Genomic DNA, 22,796 nt, shown 5'->3' with positions numbered 1-22,796 from the left:
TTGCTGGGGCATCTTTTTTTTTTTTTTTTCTTTTGAGATGGAGTCTCGCTCTGTCGCCCAGGCTGGAGTGCAGTGGCGCGATCTCAGTTCACTGCCAGCTCCGCCTCCCGGGTTCATGCCATTCTCCTACCTCAGCCTCCTGAGTAGCTGGGACTACAGGCGCCCACCACCACGCCTGGCTAATTTTTTGTATTTTTAGTAGAGACGGGCTTTTACCGTGTTAGCCAGGATGGTTTCAATCTCCTGACCTTGTGATCCGCCTGCCTCGGCCTCCCAAAGTGCTGGGATTACAGGCGTGAGCCACTGCACCCGGCCTCCAGTGCATCTTTGATGGAGTCTTCCAAGCGCGGTTTCTGGGTCAAAGGACAGATCCATGTGCTTGGTCCGCCTTGGTGTCCAGTTTGCGGTTTTAGCTGCGGGGCGTCTCTGTTGAACACATATTGTGGCTTTAGTAGGATCTGGCCAGTGAGTTGCCATAACTGACGTTTCCCCTACCCTCCCTTTAGAGAAGAGAGAACAGAGCTGAGGCCTGGGAACCTAACCCCTCAGTGTTACTGATTTCTTTCATGGAAGCCCTTGTGGGCAGTGTCATCGTAAAGCTAACATCCTCTCTCTGTTTGGAATTTCAGCAAAGCTCTGCAGGAATATTCTCAGAGCTTCATCGTGTCACTCGTCCTGGGGAAGGATGTGATTCCCAGGTAAGCCCACCTGGTGCTGTGCCCAGGGCTGGGGGGTTGGGAGTGCCAGGTCCCAGCCTCAGTGTGCCCCTTTGCTAAACAGGCTCAGTGTGACCAACTTGGAAGATCTGAAGAGAAGAATCTTGCGAGTGGTCGCGCACTGCAATAAACCCAAGGTAAGCGGGTGCCTTGTTGAGAGGGTCAGCAGGACACGGGGCCTGTCCCTGAGATCCTGTGGAGAGCCGGGAGGAATTGCACCCTCAGTGCAGGGCACTCTATGCTGTTGCTGGAAGTTCTCCTTCCACCATCTGATCAGATTCTGGGCTAGGACTCTGTGATGTCTAAGAAAGCAAATGGCTGCAGCAAGTGCGGGAAATGTCACAGGGAGGAAACAGGATCTGGGCTGGGAGCAGTGGTGTATGCCTGGAATCCCAGCACCTCAGGAGGCCAAGGCAGGAGGATCCCTTGAGGCCAACCTGGGCAACACAACAAGACCCTGTCTCTATTCTAAAAAAAAAAAAAGAAAAGAAAATACTCTGGAGGAACTGTTTGATTTTGCTTTCTGACAAACTTCTTAGTCCTGTCTTGTGACTAACAGTTTGTTAATGCCTTTTGGCTTTGTTGTCCGAAAGCTTAGAAAGCAAGGCTGCCAAATAGACCTTAAGAGGTACAGGCACATTTATCTACACTGTGGATATCATGCAGTTATTAAAATGGTGATATATGTCCACGTCAAGGGTTTTTTAACATGGTGGTAGAAATTTATGTCTGCTGGCCAGGCGCGGTGGGTCACGCTTGTAATCCCAGCCCTTTGGGAGGCTAAGGCAGGCAGATCACCTGAGTCAGGAGATCGAGACCAGAGTGGTCGACATGGCAAAACCCCGTCTCTAGTAAAAATACAAAAATGAGCCAGGGGTGGTGGTGAGTGCCTGTAATCCCAGCTACTTGGTAGGCTGAGGCAGAAGAATCGCTTGAACCCAGGAGGCCGAGGTTGCATAAGCCAAGATCGCACTCCAGCCTGTTGGATAGAGTGAGGCTCTGTCTCCAAAAAGAAGAAATTTCTGTCTGCCGATAAAGATAGATATCCATTGAAAAGTTCAAAAGAAAAAAAACTTAAAAATTATTCTTAAGAGATATGACTCATGGCAGAGAGTGGGGACAAGGAGATACAGATATATGAATTTTGACAAAAATTTGAAAATACGTATGCCAAGGGTGGTTTTGTTTAGTGTCGGTAGAGATGATTTTTACTTGTTTAATCCCTTTGTTTTCTGACCTTTCTCATGGTTTTGTTCCTAATCAGAAAGAAGAAACGCAATTTAAATTTTTCTCCTTACCAATTACCTCCCCCAGTTTTTTCTTTTTTGAGACAGGGTCTCGCTTTGTCACCCAGGCTGGAGTGCAGTGGCGCAGTCTCGGCACATTGCAGCCTCCCAAGTTCAACTGATCCTCCCACCTCAGCCTCCTGAGTAGCTGGGGCTACACTACAGGCATGCGCCAACACACCTGGCTAATTTTTGTATTTTTTGTAGAGACAGGGTCTTACCATGTTGCCCAGGCTGGTCTCAAACTTCGGGGCTGAAGCAATCTGCTTGCCTTGACCTCCCAAAGTGCTGGGATTACAGGTGTGAGCCACTGCTGTGCCCAGCCTAAAATTTTTTTTAGAAATTAGTATCTAGGGCGGGCCCGGTGGCTCACGCCTGTAATCCCAGCACTTTGGGAGGCTGAGGTGGGTGGATCACCTGAGGTCGGGAGTTCGAGACCAGCCTGACTAACATGGAGAAACCCCGTCTCTACTAAAAATACAAAAAATTAGGCCGGGCGCGGTGGCTCACGCCTGTAATCCCAGCACTTTGGGAGGCCAAGGCGGGTGGATCACGAGGTCAGGAGATAGAGACCACGGTGAAACCCCGTCTCTATTAAAAATACAAAAAATTAGCCGGGTGCGGTGGCGGGTGCCTGTAGTCCCAGCTACTCTGGTGGCTGAGGCAGGAGAATGGCGTGAACCCGGGAGGCGGAGCTTGCAGAGAGCCAAGATTGTGCCACTGCACTCCAGCCTGGGCAACAGAGTGAGACTCCGTCTCAAAAAAAAAAAAAAAAAAAAAATACAAAAAATTAGCCGGGCATGGTGGCAGGAGCCTGTAAGCCGAGCTACTCAGTAGGCTGAGGTAGGAGAATCGCTTGAATTCGGGAGGCAGATTGTGGAGCCAAGATCACGCCATTGCGCTCCAGCCCATAGAAATTAATATCTAATGCCTTTCAGGGAAGGAAGGGTAAAGCTGATTTCCAGAATTGCCGGAAAATAATTAAGGGAAATATCCCTCACAGTCTGTATGGCTTAGTTTTTAATATTGCTCCACGTGTGATGGTTTTACTGCCCAAGAGAGAGCCCACACTCATGATCTGTGACTAGGCATAGAGCCTTGTCCTGAGCCGAGGTGGCTGCCACCCAGCACAGCTCGCCGGTGCATCTTTGCTGGAGTCTTCCAAGCGGGGTTTCTGGGTCAAAGGGCAGATTCCTGTGCCTGGTCCGCCTTGGTGTTTCGGGAGGTCTCGGGTGACAGAGGGTGAGTGACAGCATTCTACTGATTGGGTCTCGCCCTCAGTACAAGATCTTGCTGCACGGTTTGTGGTACGAACTGTTTGGAGGAAACCCCAACAACTTGCCCACGGAGCTGGACGGGGGCGACCAGGAAGTCCTGACACAGCCTCTTCTGGGGGAGCAGAGCCTACTGACGCGCTGGTCCCCGGCCTACAGCTTCTCCAGCGACTCCCCACTGGACTCTTCTCCCAAGTACCCCCCTCTCTACCCTCCCGGCAGGATCATCCACCTGCAGGAGGAGGGCGCCTCGGGGCGGTGAGTGCGGCGTGGTGGGTGTGGTGGGCAGGCAGGAGCAGCGCGGGGTCAGCCCTGGGGCCGCGTGGGAGCTGTCTCTCCTTTTCTGCTTCAGGTTTGGCTGCTGCTCTGCTGCTCACTATAGCGCCAAGTGGTCACACGAAGCGGAATTCAGCAAAATACTCATAGGTCCGAAGATGCTCACCGACCACATGCCAGACATCCTGATGCGGGCCTTGGACAGCGTGGTCTCCGACAGAGCGGCCTGCGTCTCCTGTCCAGCACAAGGGGTCTCCAGTGTGGACGTGGCCTGACCAGGGCCACTGGAAACTGTCCCAGGAACGATGGACTCACGCTTTTGTCCTTAAACTGACTTACCATCCGAGGAGTTCCCATGACGCCAAAACAGCGAATGTCCATCAACAGGAATCGGATGGGAACAGAATTCCATGGTCTCAATGACTTAAGTTTATGGGAAGTCATTGTGGCCATAATGGTAGCAGAAGTAGTGAGCACGCTCAGGTGATAGGACGACTCCTGAGACCCAGCGACCGTGGAGACAGCCTCGGGAAGCCCTGGCCCGTGGATGGATCCCTTGGCTGTCTGAGGACTGCTCCAGAAGTGCGGGAATCCAGGGCCCACCCAGAAGACCGTGAACAGTTCCTTAGCCTCCCACCCCCAAGGCAGCTCTTTTCATCCAACTCAGTTTACAGGCGTGGTTTGTTTTTCAAACTGGGCTTCCTGGATGTACAAATGGAACTGTGGTGAGGGTGCGGGCTGGGGTTTTCTCCTGGGCGTCACCAAGGGCAGCCCTGGGCTCTGGCTGGGGATGAAGACGAAACCCGATCGGGAAAGTAAGTGGAGCCCCCGGCCCCGCCGAGCCACAGCCCCCCAACTGCCTATTCCCACTGCCCAGTTGTTTGTCCACATCAGGAGTTGCTGATTGAATTCTTGCTACTCTTCTGGCTCTGGGGTCGGCCAGTGGATTCAGGAGTTGAAACAATAAAGCGCGCGTCACCATAGTGCTTGTGTGTACAGCTGCGTGCTCTCTTATTGGGGATTTCCAGGTAGCGCTACTATACTGGGTGGTTGTAGAGCAATGATGTTTCCACGTTTTTTTTAAACCCTGGGGTTCTGGCTACAGATGGAAGATTGCCCAAGCACTGATTTCACCCCCTCTCCCACCGGAAGCCCAACAGAATGACAGGAGGGAGATTTCTCCAAAAAAGCAGAGACCCACAGGATGGGAAAAGACACTCCAACAACAGTCAGAGGACGCACAGTACAGAACCTTAAGGGGGAAGGAAAGACATGAACTGACCCCAGCTTACAAGACCCTGGGCAGCTGTGAAGTGGGAGTGATGCAGACACGCCCAGCTAAAGAGCAGGTATGCTGGAAAGCGGGAAGAAACCTGGCCTGTCGTTTGCTCTGAGGTGGAAGGTGGGGCCTGGGCACAAGCAGTTGAGGGAAGGAGACTGTGCCCCTCCTGGCTCCCAAGTCTTCAAGGAGAAGATTCTCCCGGGAAATCTGACCTCAGAAGACACCTCCTTGGGGCCTCTCTGCTGTCACAGCCATGCCACCTTAGAGCTTTGTAAAGCCTGCAAAGGGCTCTTTAAAAACTTCAAGCCAGGCGCAGTGGCTCACACCTGTAATCCCAGCACTTTGGGAGGCTGAGGCAGGCGGACACTTGAGCCCAGGGGTTCACAGCTGCAGTGAGCTGCGGTCATGCCACTGCACTCCAGCCTGGGTGACAGAGTAAGACCCTGTCTCACAGAAATAAGTCTAACTTGAATTGAAATGCTGTAGCAGGCTGAGCGCAGTGGCTCTTGCCTGTAATCCCAGCACTTTGGGGAGGACAAAGTGGGCGGATCACCTGAGGTCAGGAGTTCGAGACCAGCCTGGCCAACATGGTGAAACCCGTCTCTACTAAAAATACAAAAATTAGCCAGGTGTGGTGGTGTGCACCTATAGCCCCAGCTATTCAGGAGACTGAGGCAGGAGAATCGCTTGAACCTGGGAGGCGGAGGTTGCGGTGAGCTGAGATCATGCCACTGCACTCCAGCCTGGGCAACAGAGCGAGACTCCGCCTCAAAAAAATAAATAAATAAATAAATAAATACATAGCCAGGCGTGGTGGCAGGTACCTGTAATCCCAGCTACTCGGGAGGTGAGGCAGGAGAATGGCTTGAGCCCAGGAGGCAGAGGCTGCAGTGAGCCGAGATCGTGCCACTGCGTTCCAGCTTGGGCGACAGAGCAAGACTGTCTCAAAAAAAAAAAAAAAAAAAAAAAAAAAAAAAAAAAAAAAACAGTAGCAGCGTCCAACTGCTACAAGCTTTGTTTCTAAACCCAATTCCTGCACTCACCTAGTGTCAGAAAGGTACAAGATGGACTCGCTACATGGTGTGACCCTCCTAGGGAACTGCTTCCAACTTCAACTTTTAAGCATGAGCCAAGGACTCCTGACACTAGAGGAACAAGACACCAAAAGAAACATGATGTGGACAGAAGCCTCCTAATGACCCATGCTATGGCTTGGGACTCAGAGAAAGCGCTGTGACTCAGAACTGACCCTGAAGGCCCACAGTGGGGAGAGTGGAAAAGAGCTCCTGAAGATGAAAAGCATCAGACAAAATCAAAAGCTCAAAGATAACAAACCAGGAAAAGAAAAAGGTTACGAGGACACTCCAGGTCTGACATCTGAGTTTGAAAGTCACGAGTTTCCAAGACGGAAAGAGGCCATCAAGCGCACAGCACGGTGGATAAAAGAAACCCTAGGATGTGGAAGAGAAAAGGACAATCTCACAAGAAAAAAATACATCCCAACAGAAATGGCTAAGAAAAATCATGGAAGAACTGCCCTCAGAATTCTGAAGGGACTAGGTGCAGTGGCTCAGGCCTGTAATCATTCCATTTTGGGAGGCCAAAGTGGGAGGATTGCTTGAGCTCAAGACAAGTGTGGGCAACACAGCAAGACCCCATCTCTTAAAAAAAAAAAAAAAAAATTTTTGAGATGGGCGTCTCACTATTGCCACCCAGGCTGGAGCACAGTGGCACGATCTTGGCTCACTGCAACCTCGTCTCCCAGGTTCAAGCAATTCTCCTGCCTCAGGCTCCTAAGTAGCTGGGATTACAGGCGTGCACCACCACGCCTGGCTGATTCTTGTATTTTTAGTAGAGACGGTCTCACCATGTTGGCCAGGCTGCTCTCGAACCCCTGACCTCAAATGATCTGTCCACCTTGGCCTCCCAAAGTGCTGGGATTACAGGCATGAGCCACTGCGCCTGGCCAAAAATAAATTTTTTTAACCGAAGGGAGGCTGGGTGCAGTGGGCCAAGCCTGTAGTCCCAGCTACTTGAGAGCCTGCAGTGGGAGGATCACTTGAGCCCAGGAGTTTGAGTCTAAGCCTGGTCAACATAGCAAGAGCCTGTCTCAAAAGAAGAAATCTGCAGCCTAAGCAACATAGTCAGATCCCATCTCTACAAAACAAAATTAGCTGGGCATGGTGGTGCACACCTGTAGTCCCTATTACTCAGGATGCTGAGCAGGACTGCTTGAGCCCAGGTTGTTGAGGCCACAGTAAGCTGAGATCATGCTACTGCACTCCAGCATGGGTAACAAAGTGAGACCCTGTCCCAAAAATATAACTTAAAAGGGATGTTCACACCAACCTAGAATTTTAGGCCCAGCCAGAAGTAATGTACAACAGTTGTTTTCAAAGATGCAGGGGCTCAAAAATAAGAGTGATGCCTTACTTAACGATGGGTATACATTCTGAGAAACACGCGGGTGATTTCATTGTTAATGTCAGCCTACTACACACCTGGGTCAAAGGTAGGGCCTGTTCATTGCTCCCAGGCTACTCACCTGCACAGCCTGTTACTATACTGAATGCAACAGGAGTTCTAACAGTGGTATTTGCGTATCTGTACACAGAAAAGGTACAGTAAAAATAAGGTGCAGTCACACACTATCATACATGCAATACACTGTTGACTAAAATGTCATTACATAGTGCATGACTACGTACTTCCAACTCTCTCAAGGGATTTCTTGGAGAAACCATTCAGGATGAAGTAAATCAAAAAAGGGAATGTGGATGCAGGAAATGAAGACCAGCACCTAAGAGAGGTGCAGATCAGATGACTCCAGGAAAATGGGTATTGGCAAAATAACAACACATCTGAATATCTTGAGAGGTTTAGACAATAGATGAAAGTTCACAGCTGAGGCCGCGCACAGTGGCTTATACCTGTAATCCCAGCACTTTGGGAGGCTGAGGTGGAATGGTGGCTTCAGGCCAGGAGTTCAAGACCAGCCTAGGCAACACAGGGAGACCCCCCCCCCCCAACTCTACTAAACATTTTAAAAATTAGCCGGGCATGGTTGCACACACCTGTGGTCCCAGCTACTCAGGAGGCTAGGGCAGGAGGATCACTTGAGCCTAGGAGCTGTGATGGCACCACTGCACTCCAACCTGGGTGACAGAGCAAGACCCTTCCTTAAAAAAAAAAAAAAAAAAAGTTCACAATTGAATTCAGTACATAGGAAAGTAAGCAAAGTACTAATTATCCCAAAGAAAACCAGAAGTTCTGCAGGAAACACAGTTTTGTTGCTACATGGCAAGGCCAGTGAGTAGTTTATGTAGTAGTGATCATGCCGGCACTAAACTGAGTCCACCAAAACCATCAGATTGAGGGGATGAGAAAGGTTTTGGGTGGAGAGGGCTACAAGCGGGAAAGCAAGCCTCTCATCGTCCATGCTGGGAATGTCGATGAGAATGGCTGAACTCAGAAGTTACACTGGAACAAAAAGCCTAATTTAGACACAGCAGGTAAAATACCAAAAATCAGGTAAGCAAACAAAGTATTCCTTCTGGAGAGGCTACGAAGGGGGAAGTGTTTTTCTTTAGAAACCACTAAAACTTTTACTTTTAAAAACTGCATATTGACAGGTATGGTGGCTCACACCTGGAGTCCCAGCACTTTGGGAGGTCGAGGCTGGTGGCTCACACCTGGAGTCCCAGCACTTTGGGAGGTCGAGGCTGGTGGATTGCTTGAGCTCAGGAGTTCAAGACCAGCCTGGCCAACATGGCAAAACCCTACAAAAAATACACACAAAATTAGCTGGGTGTGGTGGTGCGCACCTGTGGTCCCAGCTACTCCAGAGGCTGAAGTGGGAGGATGGCTTGAGTGCAGGAGGCATAGGTTGCAGCGAGCCAAGATCACGCCACTGCACTCCAGCCTGTGAGACAGAGCCAGATCTTATCTCAAAAAACAAAATCTGCATTATTTATATCTGTTTAAAAAAAAAATACTCAGCTGGAGGCGGTGGCTCACGCTTTTAATCCCAGCACTCTGGGAGGCCGAGCAGATCACCTAAGGTTGGGAGTTCAAGACCAGCCTGGCCATGGTGAAACTATGGTGAAAAAATACAAAAAATTAGCCAGGCGTGGGGGGAGGCACCTGTAATCCCAGCTACTCGGGAGTCTGAGGCAGGAGAATCGCTTGAACCCGAGAGGCAGAGATTGCAGTGAGCCGAGATCACACCATTGCACTCCCAGCCTGGGCAACAAGAGCAAAACTCCATCTTAAAAAAAAAACAAAAACTCAAAAACAATCTTCAAAGCAATAAAAAGGAATATTAAGAAAACGAATTCTAACATGAACCTTTATGTAGTACAAGTTCAGGCTCTTGCATTTTTTTTTTGGGTAGGTCTCTTTCTTGTCCAGGCTGGTCTAGAACTCCTGGGCTTAAGCGCTCCTCCTGTGTCAGCCTCCCAAAGCGTCGGGCTTAGAGGCGTAAGCCACGCACTCAGCCTCTGGAAAGGATCTTAAGGGCATGTGGTTCACCAACCTCTACTCTTCCAGGGCCAGTCTAGGGTCCCAACATCTCCATCTTCAGCCCCTAGCTCTGGGCCAGGATGTGCACACACACCCCGATAGGCGCTTCTCCCTCAGAGCTTCGCCACTGTTCGACAGGTCCAAACATGAATGTCACCTCCACTCCTGCCGTATTTGGGCTCACCCAGTTCTCCCCTGGAGGTGGCACTCCCTGTCCCTCCTGTGTGGAGACACGCATTGAAAATGACTGTCTCCAACAACCCAGGACTTTAAAGCAAGGCAAACAAACACACACCAGGAACTTGTTCATCAAGTCTCAAAAACACCAGTATTACCAGTCGTATGATTCAAGGATTTATTAAGTCATACATGCAAAACATAATGCTAATTGCATTAGCAAAAGATCAATGTAAAAACACTCCACAATTCTGCAACTGTCAATTTAAAAAATTCTGTTGTAGTGGCTGAAGGGTCCCACGCTGTATTCTCGCCAGTGAGTTAAGTTGTACAGAACATCGTCAGCACTAGCACAGTTTACAGAACCTCACAGACCCAAAGGAACATCAATAGGCAAAGCGACTACAGGAGGCGTGTGTCCGCGTGGGCGAGGTAAAGAGGGTCAGTATTGGTCAAGTGACAGTGTCGGTAATCTGGCAAGACAGTGATGTTAAGAAGGTTCATAGTTTAAGAATTATCTAAAATATTTTAAAAACTATAAAGCTGCAACACATGATTTTTACACCTAGTTACTAGAAAACTAAGGAAAGCACTTATTAGCTCTGAATAAAGTAACATGGAAAGCACTTTTACTAATCGACAAAAAAACCTTCTAATGCATTATCAGAAAGATTTTATAATACAAGGAGGCATATTGCTCAGTCAGAAGGGGTTCTATAAGAAAAGCACTTACTAAGTTAGCGACTAACAGAACAACCAGTTTAAAGATGAATTAAATGCCCAATTTGGGGAGGCATGGCAGGTGTAAGAGAAAGGAAAAGCTTAAGAAAACATTTCCTGATAATACCAACCTTTCTTTCATCATCTACTGCATTTGACAGAAATTAACCTTTTAGAGTTTTTACCCGTGACACTTTCATTCCTTGTACAATGTAGTGTAAATCTCCACTTCGTATTTTGTCAAAATACTGTCTTTGTCCTTTGATCACACACACCCCACCCGGCACACCCACAGCTAAACAGAATTCTTCATTAGAGGAAATAGCAGTTCTGTTCAAAATCTCCGCAAAAGCTGGTCAGAAAACTCGCTATGAAATCACAAAGACTGATCCAAAGAGCTGAGCTGCTACGCTCACTCCATTACAGTACAATGTTATGTCGGGAACACGTGCTGCTAACTCACTGGTGAGTTCAATGGCAACGCTTCATTCGGGAGGCTGTTCTGCTTTACGCATCTGAGAACTACATAGGAGAGCAAGTGTCTGCACCTCCTAACTGCAGAAGCTACCGTCTTCTCAAAGACGAAGGTCTTTGCAAAGTTCAGTGCTCGGTGTTCTCGGCACAACAATGCAGTGTAGTTCAGAAGGTATTTTGGCAACTCTTAATCTGAACAAGAATGGGGGGGGCGCTTTTGAAAAATAAGGCTTTAAGAAGGCTTGTCATTTTAGGGCTAAATTTTAATAGAATGTGAGTCTGAACTCTTACATTTAGAACAAACAAAACCTTAAAATTACTGATTGGTTCAAAAAATGGTTTTATGGAAAAATTAATCTGTAACAAAAAGTTGGCATTGAGTGCGAAGGCTCCACCGTTGTTTTTTTTTTTTGTTTTTTTTTTTTGTTTTTTTTTGAGCAAAGCGTACAAAGGTTCCAAGGGACAGGACCAAGAACGAGGGGCTGAGACATTTACAACAGCAGGCATTTTCTCTTCCTCTTCTTCACGGGAGGCGGGCAGAGGACTGCTCGGATCGCTTCGTCAAACACTGTCTTGAGGCCTCGCTGTGTGAGCGCCGAGCACTCCAGGTATTTTACAGCACCTACAGGAAACACGACCACACGGCAATGTACACTCGACCCCACTCTCTTCTGATCACACCACCAGCGGGAGGCAGCTCCTGGGGCCCGGGCGCCTTCTGCCGGCTCCCAGCCCTGCTTCCACCTTCCAACGCTGACGTTAAGACCCACAGGGCCTTGCCAGCTGGTTCCCCAAGAGTACACCAGGCCCTGAGTGGGAGACACACACCCTCCTTTCCCAGACTGGACTCCAGTCTCTGTCACTACAATAAAAGAGGTACAAGGAGGAGGAAAAACACAGGATTCCATACCAATCTCCTTAGCCATGGCTAGACCCTGCGGATAGGTGATGGGAGTCAGCTTCTTCTCCTTCAGTTTCTCGATCGTGTCTTTATCATCCCTAAGATCAAGTTTAGTTCCCACTAGGATGATGGGAGTGTTGGGACAGTGGTGCCGCACCTCAGGATACCACTAGATGTGAAGAAGGAACAGAGGTTGTGACACGCTCCTTTACAGATGTCCTTCACCTAAATCACACCCAGCCGGCGGCACTCATGCCAGACACCTAACCTCAGGCAAGGCCTCCCCACGGAGGCTTCAGGTGGTTCCCACCTTCAATTCAAGCCTTGAGCCATAAGGAACATCTCAGGTGTTCCATTAGCAAGCTAGGACTCCCGGATCATGGCTGGACAGAACCACGACCGGACAGAACGGGCTCTACAACCGCAGGGGAAGGGGGGAAGGGAAGAGAAACAAAAGGAAGGGAGTTCCTCCCAAAGCAAATAGATCACTTTGTTTTTGGTAAAACAATTTCTTAGGGTCATCTGAGAAAATTCATCATCTGTTCAGAAATGAGAATAAACTACCTAGCCCAAGGTCTCAGGTCTGCCGCTATTATCTCCACTGAAAATGCCCCTACTGAAGGGCCTCACTTGTCATTTTCACTAAGAAGTTTGTGAAAGAGACTGGAGTAGAAAGAAATGGTCGTTATTTTTATTAGACCAATTCTGAGTGCCTCATTATTTTAATGAGACCCAGGAAACTTCTGAACCAGAACCTGAAGCTTTAAAAATCCACGTATTAGGCCGGGCATAGTGGCTCACACCTGAAATCCCAGCACTCTGGGAGTCTGCGGCGGGTGGATCACTTGAGGCCAGGGGTTCGAGACCAGCCTGGCAAACATGGTGAAACCCCGTCTCTACTAAAAGTACAAAAATTAGCCAGGTGTGTTGGCGGGCACCTGTAATCCCAGCTACTAAGGAGGCTGAGGCAGGAGAATTGCTTGAACCGGGAGGGGGAGGTTGCAGTGACCCAAGATTGTGCCACTGCACTCCAGCTTGGATGACAGTGCAAGATTCTGTCTCAGCCGGGCACGGTGGCCCACGCCTGTAATCCCAGCACTTTGGGAGGCCGAGACGCGCGGATCACCTGAGGTCGGGAGTTCGAGACCAGCCTGACTGACGTGGAGAAACCACATTTCTACTAAAAATACAAAATTAGCCGGGCGTGGTGGTGCATGCCTGTAATCCCAGTTACTCGGGAGGCTGAGGCATGAGAATCACTTGAACCCAGGAGGCGGAAGTTGCAGTGAGCCAAGATTGCGTCACTGCACTCCAGCCTGGGCAACAAGAGTGAAACTCCATCTCAAAAACAAAAACAAAAACAAAAAAAAAGACTCTCTCAAAAATAAATAAATAAAATAAACTGCTGATGGGCCAGATGCAGTGGCTCACAGCTATAATCCCACCACTTTGGGAGGCTGAAGCTGAAAGATCACTTCAACCCAGGAGTTTGAGACAAGCCAGGGTCTACAAAACCAGCCATACAAAAATTCTTTTAAGATTAGCCACGCATGGTGGTGCACATTTATGGTCCCAGCAACTCAGGAGGCTGGGGCAGGAGAACTGTTTGAGCCCAGGAGTTCAAGGCTACAGTGAGCTCTGATGTCACCACTACAACTCCAGCCTGGACACAACAGAGTGAGACCTCCGTCTCAAAAGAAAAAAAAAAACCCAATCATGTACTTAAGTAGCAAATTGCTAAAACCAATTTAAATAACTAAAAATTCCTAGGCTAAGTGATATTTTAAAGTATTTATTTCTGAGAGGATCATTCTATAACTTACATACACATTTTAAATCCCCACCTACCTTTGCACGGACATTTTCAAATGATGCAGGACTCACAAGGGAAAAGCAAATTAAGAACACATCCTACAAAAAGGAAACACAGGGAAACATTTAGACAACAACCTTAGAATGAAGCATGCACTTTGCTTTCTACATGTTGCTGGGAAGGACTTGTTGGACGCAGAGCGTGTCTACCAGTGGTGTGGTCAGACGCTTCCTGATCCACCCTTTCAGTTTGTCAGAGGGCTCCCAAACCAAACCCAGCATGTCAAGCCACCAGTTACTTATGAAAATGGGGAGCATGAAGGGAGAATGATGCTGGAAGCTCTTCAAGGATCAGGAGGATCAGACCAGACCCTCAGGAGGCTTCCTTTACGCCTAACTATCTAAAATGAAAAAATCAAGTATAAAGGTATGATTCCAATATTTCTGTAAAATCTGGTTTAGAGTACAAACAGTTTTAGATGGTCACTGGTTCCAATTAAACTGCTTCTTCAGGAGCTGCCTGTCACAGCTCCCAGCACCAAGCGGGGGCTCCAATATTTGCTACTTGAGCCCTTCCCTCCACAAGGAAGGAGGACTTAGTGTGTAAGTGGCACCTTCACAGCTGACAACCACCCTCACGCTGCCCTAGAGTCAGCACAGCCAGGGCCTCAGGAGAACTCGCTCCCGGGGCAGCTGTGGCTGACGCAGAGGCGCAAAGGGTGGGTGCAGAGGACAGAGTAGAGGGTGCTTCGGGGCACACGCCAAACATCTGCATGCTTCATCCATTCTGTATTTTGTGTCAAACCAAATTCAAATATTCACCTGTATTTAAAAATGCCCAAGAATTCTAAAATGCTAGATTTCTAAAATATTCTCCTGGAAAAAGGCAATTATGCTACTTTATGAAATGCACACAATTCCCAAGCTACACTTTCAACCCTCCAGCTGATACCTTGTACCTGAAAGGGAAAGAAACATCCCACACAACAGCTTTTTATAACTGGCATTTGAAGAATGCTGGCGCATGCACAAGCTCGTCCAAGAATCACCGCGGCACCCAGCACACCATCTCAAGCACGGTGGGGTTAGCTCAGCAGCACTGCACAGCCACGCCCAGACAGCCCCACCACACGGGACACCCAAGCGGAGAAAGAAGGCCCCGGCAACAAGGTTAGTCCTGCTCCGGCTCGGCTCACAGCCAGGTGGGCTTCCGGGAGGAGTCTCCATATCTGCATCTCCAACCAGCCAGGAGAGGGGCCCTCTCACTGTCCCCTCCTTTCACTTGGGAGGAGAAGATCACAGTTCACAAACTGCTTTAATTCAAGCCGGTGGGTAAACTATCACACTCTAATGAAGTTTATTTCATCAAGCAAAACCCCAACCTTGAGTGAATTAAATATAAAACACTCAAGGAGCTTGAGGCTTAATAAAAAATCCTAGGAAAACGAAGTGAAATGAGAGAACAGAGAAAGCTTGAAACTGAAGTGGACTGAAAGTTTTACATACGGCAATCGGCTTGTCTTTGCCCCGGGAGGTTATATCCTTACCGTACGTTTCTCCAACCTAGTAATGCATGAGAACTTGGTTTGAGTTTAGTACAGACTGAGGACAACAAAAATCAATATAACCTCTTATCGATTCTTTATTAGAATTTTGTCTTAACCCTCCGGAGAGATCCAAAAGCATACAATAGATTCTAACATATCTTCGATGACAAATGCCACTGAAACACTCCACGCTACCTGGTCAAAAGCAGGCGTTAAGTTCAACGATGGTGAAGACAGAGGTCAGGGAGATCCTGAGGGGGGGCAACAACGTGCTCCTCCTCCCATGGCAGCACCCACCAGAATCTACAACAGCTGGCACAGCCGGAGATGTTCTGCACTGTCCCTTACCGCAAAGGCAGGCGGGAGCCACGGGCACTTTCAAGTGCTCCATCCGAGTTCTCAGACACAGCCTAGTTGAAGCCACAGCATACAGGAAAAGGACCCGTCTGTAAATGATGCCTGCCAAAGGGCTCTCCCAGAACATAGCCGGGCCTCAGGGTTTTAATGCTGCCAGAACATTCCAAGTCTCCTATGCAGAAATGTTCCTATCTTCCACCTAGTTCTGGGAGACTGGTTTGAATGTACAGACTTGCATTATCAAAATCAGCACTGTTGCTGACACTAAGACCTCCAATTCTGGGCTACTTTGTAGGTCTGGGGGAAGCCACCCCTTAAGGACAAGCGTTTTTGAGACGGAGTCTTGCTCTGTTGCCCAGGCTGGAGTGCAATGGTGAGATCTCAGCTCACTGCAACCTCTGCCTCCTGGGTTCAAGCGATTCTCCTGCCTTAGCCTCCCAAGTAGCTGGGACTACAGGCACACACCACCACGCCCAGCTAATTTTTTGTATTTTTAGTAGAGACCAGGTTTCACCATGTTGGCCAGGCTGGTCTCAAACTCTTGACCTCAGGTGCTCCACCCACCTTGGCTTCCCAACGTGCTGGGATTACAGGCATGAGCCACCACTTTCAGCCATGGACAAATTTTAGAAGTGACACTTCCAGTGTTTATCACAATGCTGTCAATTCATTTCTTTGTTCCAATAAAAACTGACAAACTCGCTCTTCCAACATAGAACCCTGGAACTCTTTTAAGAAAAGCGCTCACGCCTCTAATCCCAACACCTTGGGAGGCCGAGGCAGGTGGATCACGAGGTCAGGAGTTCAAGGCCAACCTGGCCAAGATGGTGAAACCCTGTGTCTACTAAAAATACAAAAAATTAGCCGGGCATGGTGGCAGGCACCTGTAATCCCAGCTACTCGGGAGGCTGAGGCAGAGAACTGCTTGAACCCGGGAGGTGGAGGTTGCAGTGAGGCGAGATTGTGACACTGCACTCCAGTCTGGGTGACAGAGCGAGACCCTGTCTCAAAATGAGAAAATTATTTTAATTTCATCTCACTCAAGCTTTTCTTTTTTTCTTTTTTTTCTTTTTTTTTTTTGAGACAGAGTCTCGCTCTGTCGCCCAGGCTGGAGTGCAGTGGCGCGATCTCGGCTCACTGCAAGCTCCACCTCCCGGGTTCACGCCATTCTCCTGCCTCAGCATCCCCAGTAGCTGGGACTACAGGTATCCGCCACTGCGCCCAGCTAAATTTTTTGTATTTTTAGTAGAGACGGGGTTTCTTTTCTTTTTTTTTTTTTTTTTTGTTTTTGAGAGGGAGTCTCGCTCTGTCGCCCAGGCTGGAGTGCAGTGGCACGATCTTGGCTCACTGCAAGCTCCGCCTCCCAGGTTCACACCATTCTCCCTGCCTCAGCCTCCCGAGTAGCTGGGACCACAGGTGCCCGCCACCACGCCCGGCTAATTTTTTGTATTTTTAGTAGAGACGAGGTTTCAACGTGTTAGCCAGGATGGTCTCGATCTCCTGACCTCGTGATCCGCCCACCTCGGCCTCCCAAAGTGCTGGGATTACAGGCGTGAGCCACCGTGCCAGGCCACTCAAGCTTTCCTGACTTAACATTCAAAGAGCACATTAGTTTCCACAGCTATCTGGGTTTCATCTATGGGCTACTGTTGAAGATTTGTCCTCCCAAGGACTTCATATGGTGCCAAATCTTTACCATGGGAGAGGATCATCGAGAACCAGTTACAAAAATGCAGCTTCCAAAGAGCCTCTGATCGTATCTGTGGCATGCTTTCGATTTTTAAGAGCCTCTTTTTTGATGGAGAAGAGACACACACGACAGGAGCGAGCAGTTCCACTTTCCACCCGGCGTTCGTGCTATGCCATCTGCCTGTTCCTTCCTTGTTCCTTCTTCGTCCCCAGCTAAATATAGCTTCCCAAAACCCTGTCTAGTGCTTCTGGTACTCACTTCCTAGCATCCCCTCCTCCCGGCCGTCGCTGTCCTGACGCTTCACATACAGAGGCTGTGCTGGCTGACCCTGGCTGGGAGGCTCTATTTCTTCCCCGTCCTCGTAACACTCAAGAGGACCTGAGAGGGCACCACCGGTGTCTCTCCAGGGTCTCTCAGTTTCCTTCCTCACAGGTCACTTGTGTGTTCTGGAGCCTCAGGCTGTCTCCGGTCACCGGCCTATGTTTCCAGTCAACCTGAGCACTGCTTTCCCCTTTCTGACTAACCCAGACTCCCGCGTGCCTGTTACACACGTGGTGCCTTCAACGCCTTTGTTACTCCTGCATCACACACCACTCCCTCCTCGGTGGTAAGTGTAGCCAGGGCTGCTCTTCCCACAGCCTCCTGCCCACTGGTGGAACCATCCACAACAGATGGGTCCACTTTCCATGGAGTAAGACAGGGCGGGCATCTGGACAGCTGAGATCTCACTACAAAAAAGTAGTGTTGTTTCTACTTCGTTTTATTCTCTTCCAAATGCTATCCACCTGGATTTTACTTTCAAGTTTGGAATTTTAAAACACACAGACATTCTGGCCAGGCGCAGTGGCTCACGCCTGTAATCCTGTAAAAGGGTCAGGCAGCCCTGACGTATGAGAACCAGCCTGGCACTCGCAGCTTCGCCCTGGTGGAGGTGTTACTATTGAATAGAATAATCTCGCAGAACACTAACATCAGAGAAGGTCACCTGTGTGACTGTGCTGAAATAGGACCAAAAGTAAGTAAACTTTAAAAAAAACAACTCATAATCGTTTCTAAGTAGTGACAAATCCAAGATCATCATACAAACCACAAAAATCACCAAATATCCCCTGCTCCCGGCCAGTAAGAGTGAGGGCCGAATTCCCACAGTCCCCAGGTGCGTGTTTCCCTCGCGGCGAAGAGTAACAACTCTAGTTCTGCGGAACCACATGTGTGTGCCTGGTGCTCTCTGGCTGCACTTGTAACAGCCAACCTCACAAAAGCTGAGGCCTTTTGAAACTCAAAACTGCCAAGCTGAACACCACAGTTTTTCTTTTTATCTACCATCACAGGAGTCTAGCCCACCACTTTAAAACCTCTAGCACTGGCCAGGCGTAGTGGCTCACGCCTGTAATCCCAGCACTTTGGGAGGCAGAGGCAGGCGGATCACCTGAGGTCAGGAGTTGGAGACCAGCCTGACCAAAGTGGAGAAACCCCCGTCTCTACTAAAAATACAAAATTTGTAATCCCAGCACTTGGGGAGGCCAAGGCGGGCGGATCACAAGCTCAGGAGATCAAGACCATCCTGGCTAACATGGTGAAACCCCGTCTCTACTAAAAATATAAAAAATTAGTCAGGTGTGGTGGCGGGCGCCTGTAGTCCCAGCTACTTGGGAGGCTGAGGCAGGAGAATGGCGTGAACCCAGGAGGTGAAGCTTGCAGTGAGCCAAGATCGCACCATTGCACTCCAGCCTGGGCGACAGAGCAAGACTCCGTCTCAAAAAAAATAAAATACAAAACAAAATTAGCCAGGCATGGTAGCACATGCCTGTAGTCCCAGCTACTTGAGAGACTAGGGCGGGAAAGTCACTTGAACCTGGGAAGCGGAGGTTGCAGTGAGCCAAGATCACACCATTGCACTCCAGCCTGGGCAACAAGAGCGAAACTCTGTCTCAAACAACAACAACAACAACAACAACTTTTAGCCTAGAGAGAAAATGAAACAACTGGCATGACGCACTGGGGTCCTGGCTGACCCCAACATGGAGGCTCAGCATCTCAGCGAACCCGCTGCACAGCCTGAGTCTCAGGACACACACAGGGCTCAGGACTCGCTGTGACACTGACAGGTCACTTAGGCTCCCACTCACACCACCAATGCTGGTACAAGCAGGCAAATAAATACAGGTGATCTACACAAGGGAAGATGCTGGACTTGAGCGTTACTCTGACAAGACTTGATTCTGTGCATAGCAACTGAAGATGAGTATGCAGAACTTAGCAAAGATTTTCAAGAGAAAATAATGTAAGGATTACGTAATTCGGGAAATAAAAACCTGAAGGGCAATTTCAACTAAGAATGGCGACTACCTGCTCACCATCTTTTGGAGAACGAAGAAGAAATGAATGGTCTGAACAGACTTAGCCCGACAGAGCTGCCCAATAGAGAGGATGCCAATGTTAAATGACCACAAGAAATGTAACATCTCTTTTTAGGACACCCTAGATAAGAAATCTTCCAACTGGTCCTTCAGGAGAGTGTCTAAGCAGTCTTGGATGAGCTACATCAACAGGTCTGCAGACCACAGAGCCAGCAATCAGGGACCACATTCCATGTAGTACAAAATTTAGAGGTTTCCCCTTTATCAACAAGAGACCCAGGTGCCAGCATGTTACTACCAGATCCAGTTCTTCTTAGGACAGTGTGGCTCAAAGGGATGAGACCTTCCAGACACTGGTATCTGAGCATCTGTGGCCTGCCCCTGAGTTGTCAAGATAATTTCCTTATCTCTGAAGGAGTCCAGACAGGAATGCTTCCACTGCTGGGTGGGTGCTCGCCCCTCTTGCTCCTTAAGCGCCCGGCTCACCCCCTTGCTAGCACAGGGTGTCTTACACAGTTTATGGGACTTTTCTGTGAACTACCTGAGGGCAAGAACCATGTCCCACTCCCTCCTTGCTCCTCAAATATTTTATAGGAAAGCAGTCCACAGTCTCACACAGAGGAAACATGAAGTTTAAGTTCTAGCCCTATGAGGACAACACCTACTTTGATACCAGGCGTCACACTCTACAGCTTTGTTCAAGCTGAGGAGAGTTCTCTTTCCTTATCTGTGTGTTCCTCAGAACACAAAGTGGGACTCCTGCCAAGTCACCCTTGACTTACTGTGAGGCCTTCCTTAGAGAGGCCTCACCCTGCCCGGTACCCCCTGAGTCACAGCAGGGTGGCTCTTGTTTCTCAGAATGACACCACACCCTTCCACATGTGTCCAGTGGGCTGAAGTCTCCTACTCTACCAGCCAGTATGTTTTTAAATCCATTTACAATCTGAATTATTAAACATCCACTGGGTATAGAAGAGTTTCCTAAGATACTGAAGAATTTGAATTGTCTGGGGATTATAGACTGATTTTTAATACAGCAGACTTAACCACTAAGTTATTTCACCCATATTACCCCCTACAACGAAGTACTGGTTGAATCAATCACAGGCTGCCTCATCATCAATCAGGGCTCAAAGCCAGCCTTTCTCTAGGATGTCTTCCTGACCTCAACCCAACCCCAACCCCAATCCCTCCGGCCAACCCAGGTGTGCTGAGCACCACACAACTTCCACTCATTTGGGCACAACGTGGAAAGCAGCACTCTTTAGGCCGACCCACCCGCACACTGAGGAACAGGAGAATTCTGACAGCGGCTGGCCCCACAGTGTGTGCTATGTGCCCAGGACTGTTATGCGTGCGTGACACGTACTCATCTCACCCTACAAGGAAACAGGCAAAGACTGGAGAGAGGATGAAGCCTGCCTGAAGTCACAGAGCTAGGACATGCACACAGGTTATCAACCCAAGGAATCTCAAGCATATTTAACTTTTGCTTCCAAAGATACTTTTAAAAATGAAGAACAAACATGTAACAAGATAAGCAAATGATACACAAGTAAAACCGCTGCTTAAAGAAAAGTAACTTTTAATGACAACAATGTCTTCTAAGTACCCATTTTCACCAGCTACTGCTCTAATTAGCTTTGGTAAATAAATCACTTAGTTGTCTGATACAGAAGCAAAAGTAAACTTTTTTTTCTGATTAGACACAGTGGATACATTTTACAAAACCAAAACTTCAATCTACATTGAATAAATTTAGGTTCTATTGTATGGTTCACAAAATCCATACAAATTATGTATTTTGTGGGAAAAAATGTATTAAACCTGTGAGATTAGTTACTAACTTGGTTTAAAGAAACCTGAATCTTAACTGCCTAATTTGATTCTGTGGTACAAAAATGTCACACAGCAAACCTGCCTTCAAACTAATTGGTGTTAAAAACTGGTTTGCAAAAACAAAAAGTAGCTCTTTCATACGGTTATTCTAAAGCTAAATGGAAGACTGTAAAATGCCCAACAATGGAACAGCTGGTAACGCTCAAAACACAAAACCCCTGGGCTTGCATCTAGGGGGATGTTTACATGGAACCAATCCCACCCTGTTTGCTATTTACTCAATACCCAAATGATGGCAATATAAGCAAGTCCATAGGTAACATGCACTAATTAAGCGCTCGAGAATTATATACTCTAAAAGACACATTAAAAGTCAGCTGCAATCCTTACTGTTTGCGGATAGGATAGGGGGCGTAATCTGTCATAATCTTCTTGTCCAGCTGTATCCCATAAGCCCAGATTCACCGGTTTTCCATCTACCATAACATTGGCAGAATAATTGTCAAAGCTGTAGAATGGAATGAAAATGGTTAGTCACAGGTGTAGAAGCTAAGTCACTGTCCCAGCCATCCTAGAGAAGGTGTGCCAAGAAAAAGGCTGGGGACGGGCCTGGAGGCTGCCACACCAGCAAATGTCCCTGCAGGCACAAGGAGGAAGGCGGCACGGGCAAAACTTGCGGGAAACAAACCAAACCCAACCCAAAACTTAAGAGAAATGAAAGAAACAAACAACAAGCTATTTAAGTGAAACAAATCACCGTCAGAAATAAAAACATTTTACTTTAAACAAAGTTTAAGACTTTTATCCCCAGAAGAAATAAGGGTACAATTAGCCCCGCTTTCAAATCCTACTTGTTGGGTTTTTCATGTACTTATGTTGCTCATTTTCAGCAAGAGAGCTAGCTGGCCACTAGAGCTACCCTCTGCAGGGTTTCCAGAAGGCCTGAGTGTAGAGCAGTCACACAAAATACACCTGACTTAACAAGCCTCCCAATAACATTTTCAAAGTGAGTGTTAACTGATGATACAAATGTTTAAATTCATGTGAAGTTGCTACACAAATTAGTCAGGAGAGATAACCCAGCAAAGCCTATAGGCTGACAGAGGGAAATCAGACTGATGTTAAAAATTGCTACTGGTCAGCAGAAACCAAGCTTTAGAAGAAAATAGTGTTTCCTCTGCACAGGAAGGCAAAAAAGAAAAAAAAAAAAAGGAAAAATATAATAAAAAGCAGAGGCTGGGCACGGTGGCTCACGCCTGTAATCCCAGCACTTTGGGAGGCCGAGGTGGGCGGATCACCTGAGGTCAAGAGTTCGAGACCAGCCTGGCCAACATGACGAAACTTTGTGTCTACTAAAAATGCAAAAATTAGCCAGGGCGTGGTGACAGGCACCTGTAGTCCCAGCTACTTGGGAGGCTGAGGCAAGAGAATCGCTTGAACCCGGGAAGCAGAGGTTGCAGTGGGCCAAGTTGCGCCACTGCACTCCGGCCTGGGCAACAAGTGCGAAACTCGGTCTCAAGAAAAAAGAAGAAGAAGAAAGAAAAGGTGTGATGGTGATGGACAT

The 22,796-nt window shown here is 48.2% G+C and overlaps 2 protein-coding genes across 4 annotated transcripts in view, besides 3 other annotated features; one reads left to right on the top strand and one right to left on the bottom strand.

Annotated features, from left to right (window-relative positions):
* The window catches only part of DAGLB (diacylglycerol lipase beta), a 38,826-nt gene extending 34,291 nt beyond the window's left edge, over nt 1-4,535 (top strand). For both annotated transcript variants that reach the window (NM_001142936.2, NM_139179.4), the window contains 4 exons: nt 630-698; nt 781-853; nt 3,284-3,534; nt 3,629-4,535. In NM_001142936.2, the coding sequence (NP_001136408.1) occupies nt 630-698; nt 781-853; nt 3,284-3,534; nt 3,629-3,827 (592 nt within the window). In that variant the 3' untranslated portion in view covers nt 3,828-4,535. The remainder of the gene's footprint in view (nt 1-629; nt 699-780; nt 854-3,283; nt 3,535-3,628) is intronic.
* Nucleotides 3,455-3,991: an enhancer, noted in NCBI's record as "H3K4me1 hESC enhancer chr7:6449304-6449840 (GRCh37/hg19 assembly coordinates)". NCBI's record gives its function as "activates a minimal SCP1, AML or CMV promoter by ChIP-STARR-seq in naive H9 embryonic stem cells {active_cell/tissue: H9 hESC(naive)}" and the evidence as "EXISTENCE:reporter gene assay evidence [ECO:0000049][PMID:30033119]".
* Nucleotides 9,697-22,796, bottom strand: part of RAC1 (Rac family small GTPase 1) — a 29,441-nt gene continuing 16,341 nt past the window's right edge. The window contains exons 3-7 of one of the 2 annotated variants that reach the window (NM_018890.4): nt 21,623-21,740; nt 14,946-15,002; nt 13,476-13,538; nt 11,637-11,796; nt 9,697-11,348 (exon numbers count right to left, since the gene is read on the bottom strand). In NM_018890.4, the coding sequence (NP_061485.1) occupies nt 11,218-11,348; nt 11,637-11,796; nt 13,476-13,538; nt 14,946-15,002; nt 21,623-21,740 (529 nt within the window). In that variant the 3' untranslated portion in view covers nt 9,697-11,217. The remainder of the gene's footprint in view (nt 11,349-11,636; nt 11,797-13,475; nt 13,539-14,945; nt 15,003-21,622; nt 21,741-22,796) is intronic. The other variant, NM_006908.5, reaches the window with a different exon arrangement.
* Nucleotides 17,356-17,455: an enhancer, noted in NCBI's record as "active region_25622". NCBI's record gives its function as "activates an Ori minimal core promoter by ATAC-STARR-seq in GM12878 lymphoblastoid cells {active_cell/tissue: GM12878}" and the evidence as "EXISTENCE:reporter gene assay evidence [ECO:0000049][PMID:35858748]".
* Nucleotides 20,098-20,347: an enhancer, noted in NCBI's record as "active region_25621". NCBI's record gives its function as "activates an Ori minimal core promoter by ATAC-STARR-seq in GM12878 lymphoblastoid cells {active_cell/tissue: GM12878}" and the evidence as "EXISTENCE:reporter gene assay evidence [ECO:0000049][PMID:35858748]".

Source organism: Homo sapiens, chromosome 7 (genome assembly GCF_000001405.40).
Source record: "Homo sapiens chromosome 7, GRCh38.p14 Primary Assembly".
NCBI classification, from domain to species: domain Eukaryota; kingdom Metazoa; phylum Chordata; class Mammalia; order Primates; family Hominidae; genus Homo; species Homo sapiens.
The sequence above is the reverse complement of the archived record's forward strand: the minus strand, read 5'-3'. Positions and strand labels throughout refer to the sequence as shown.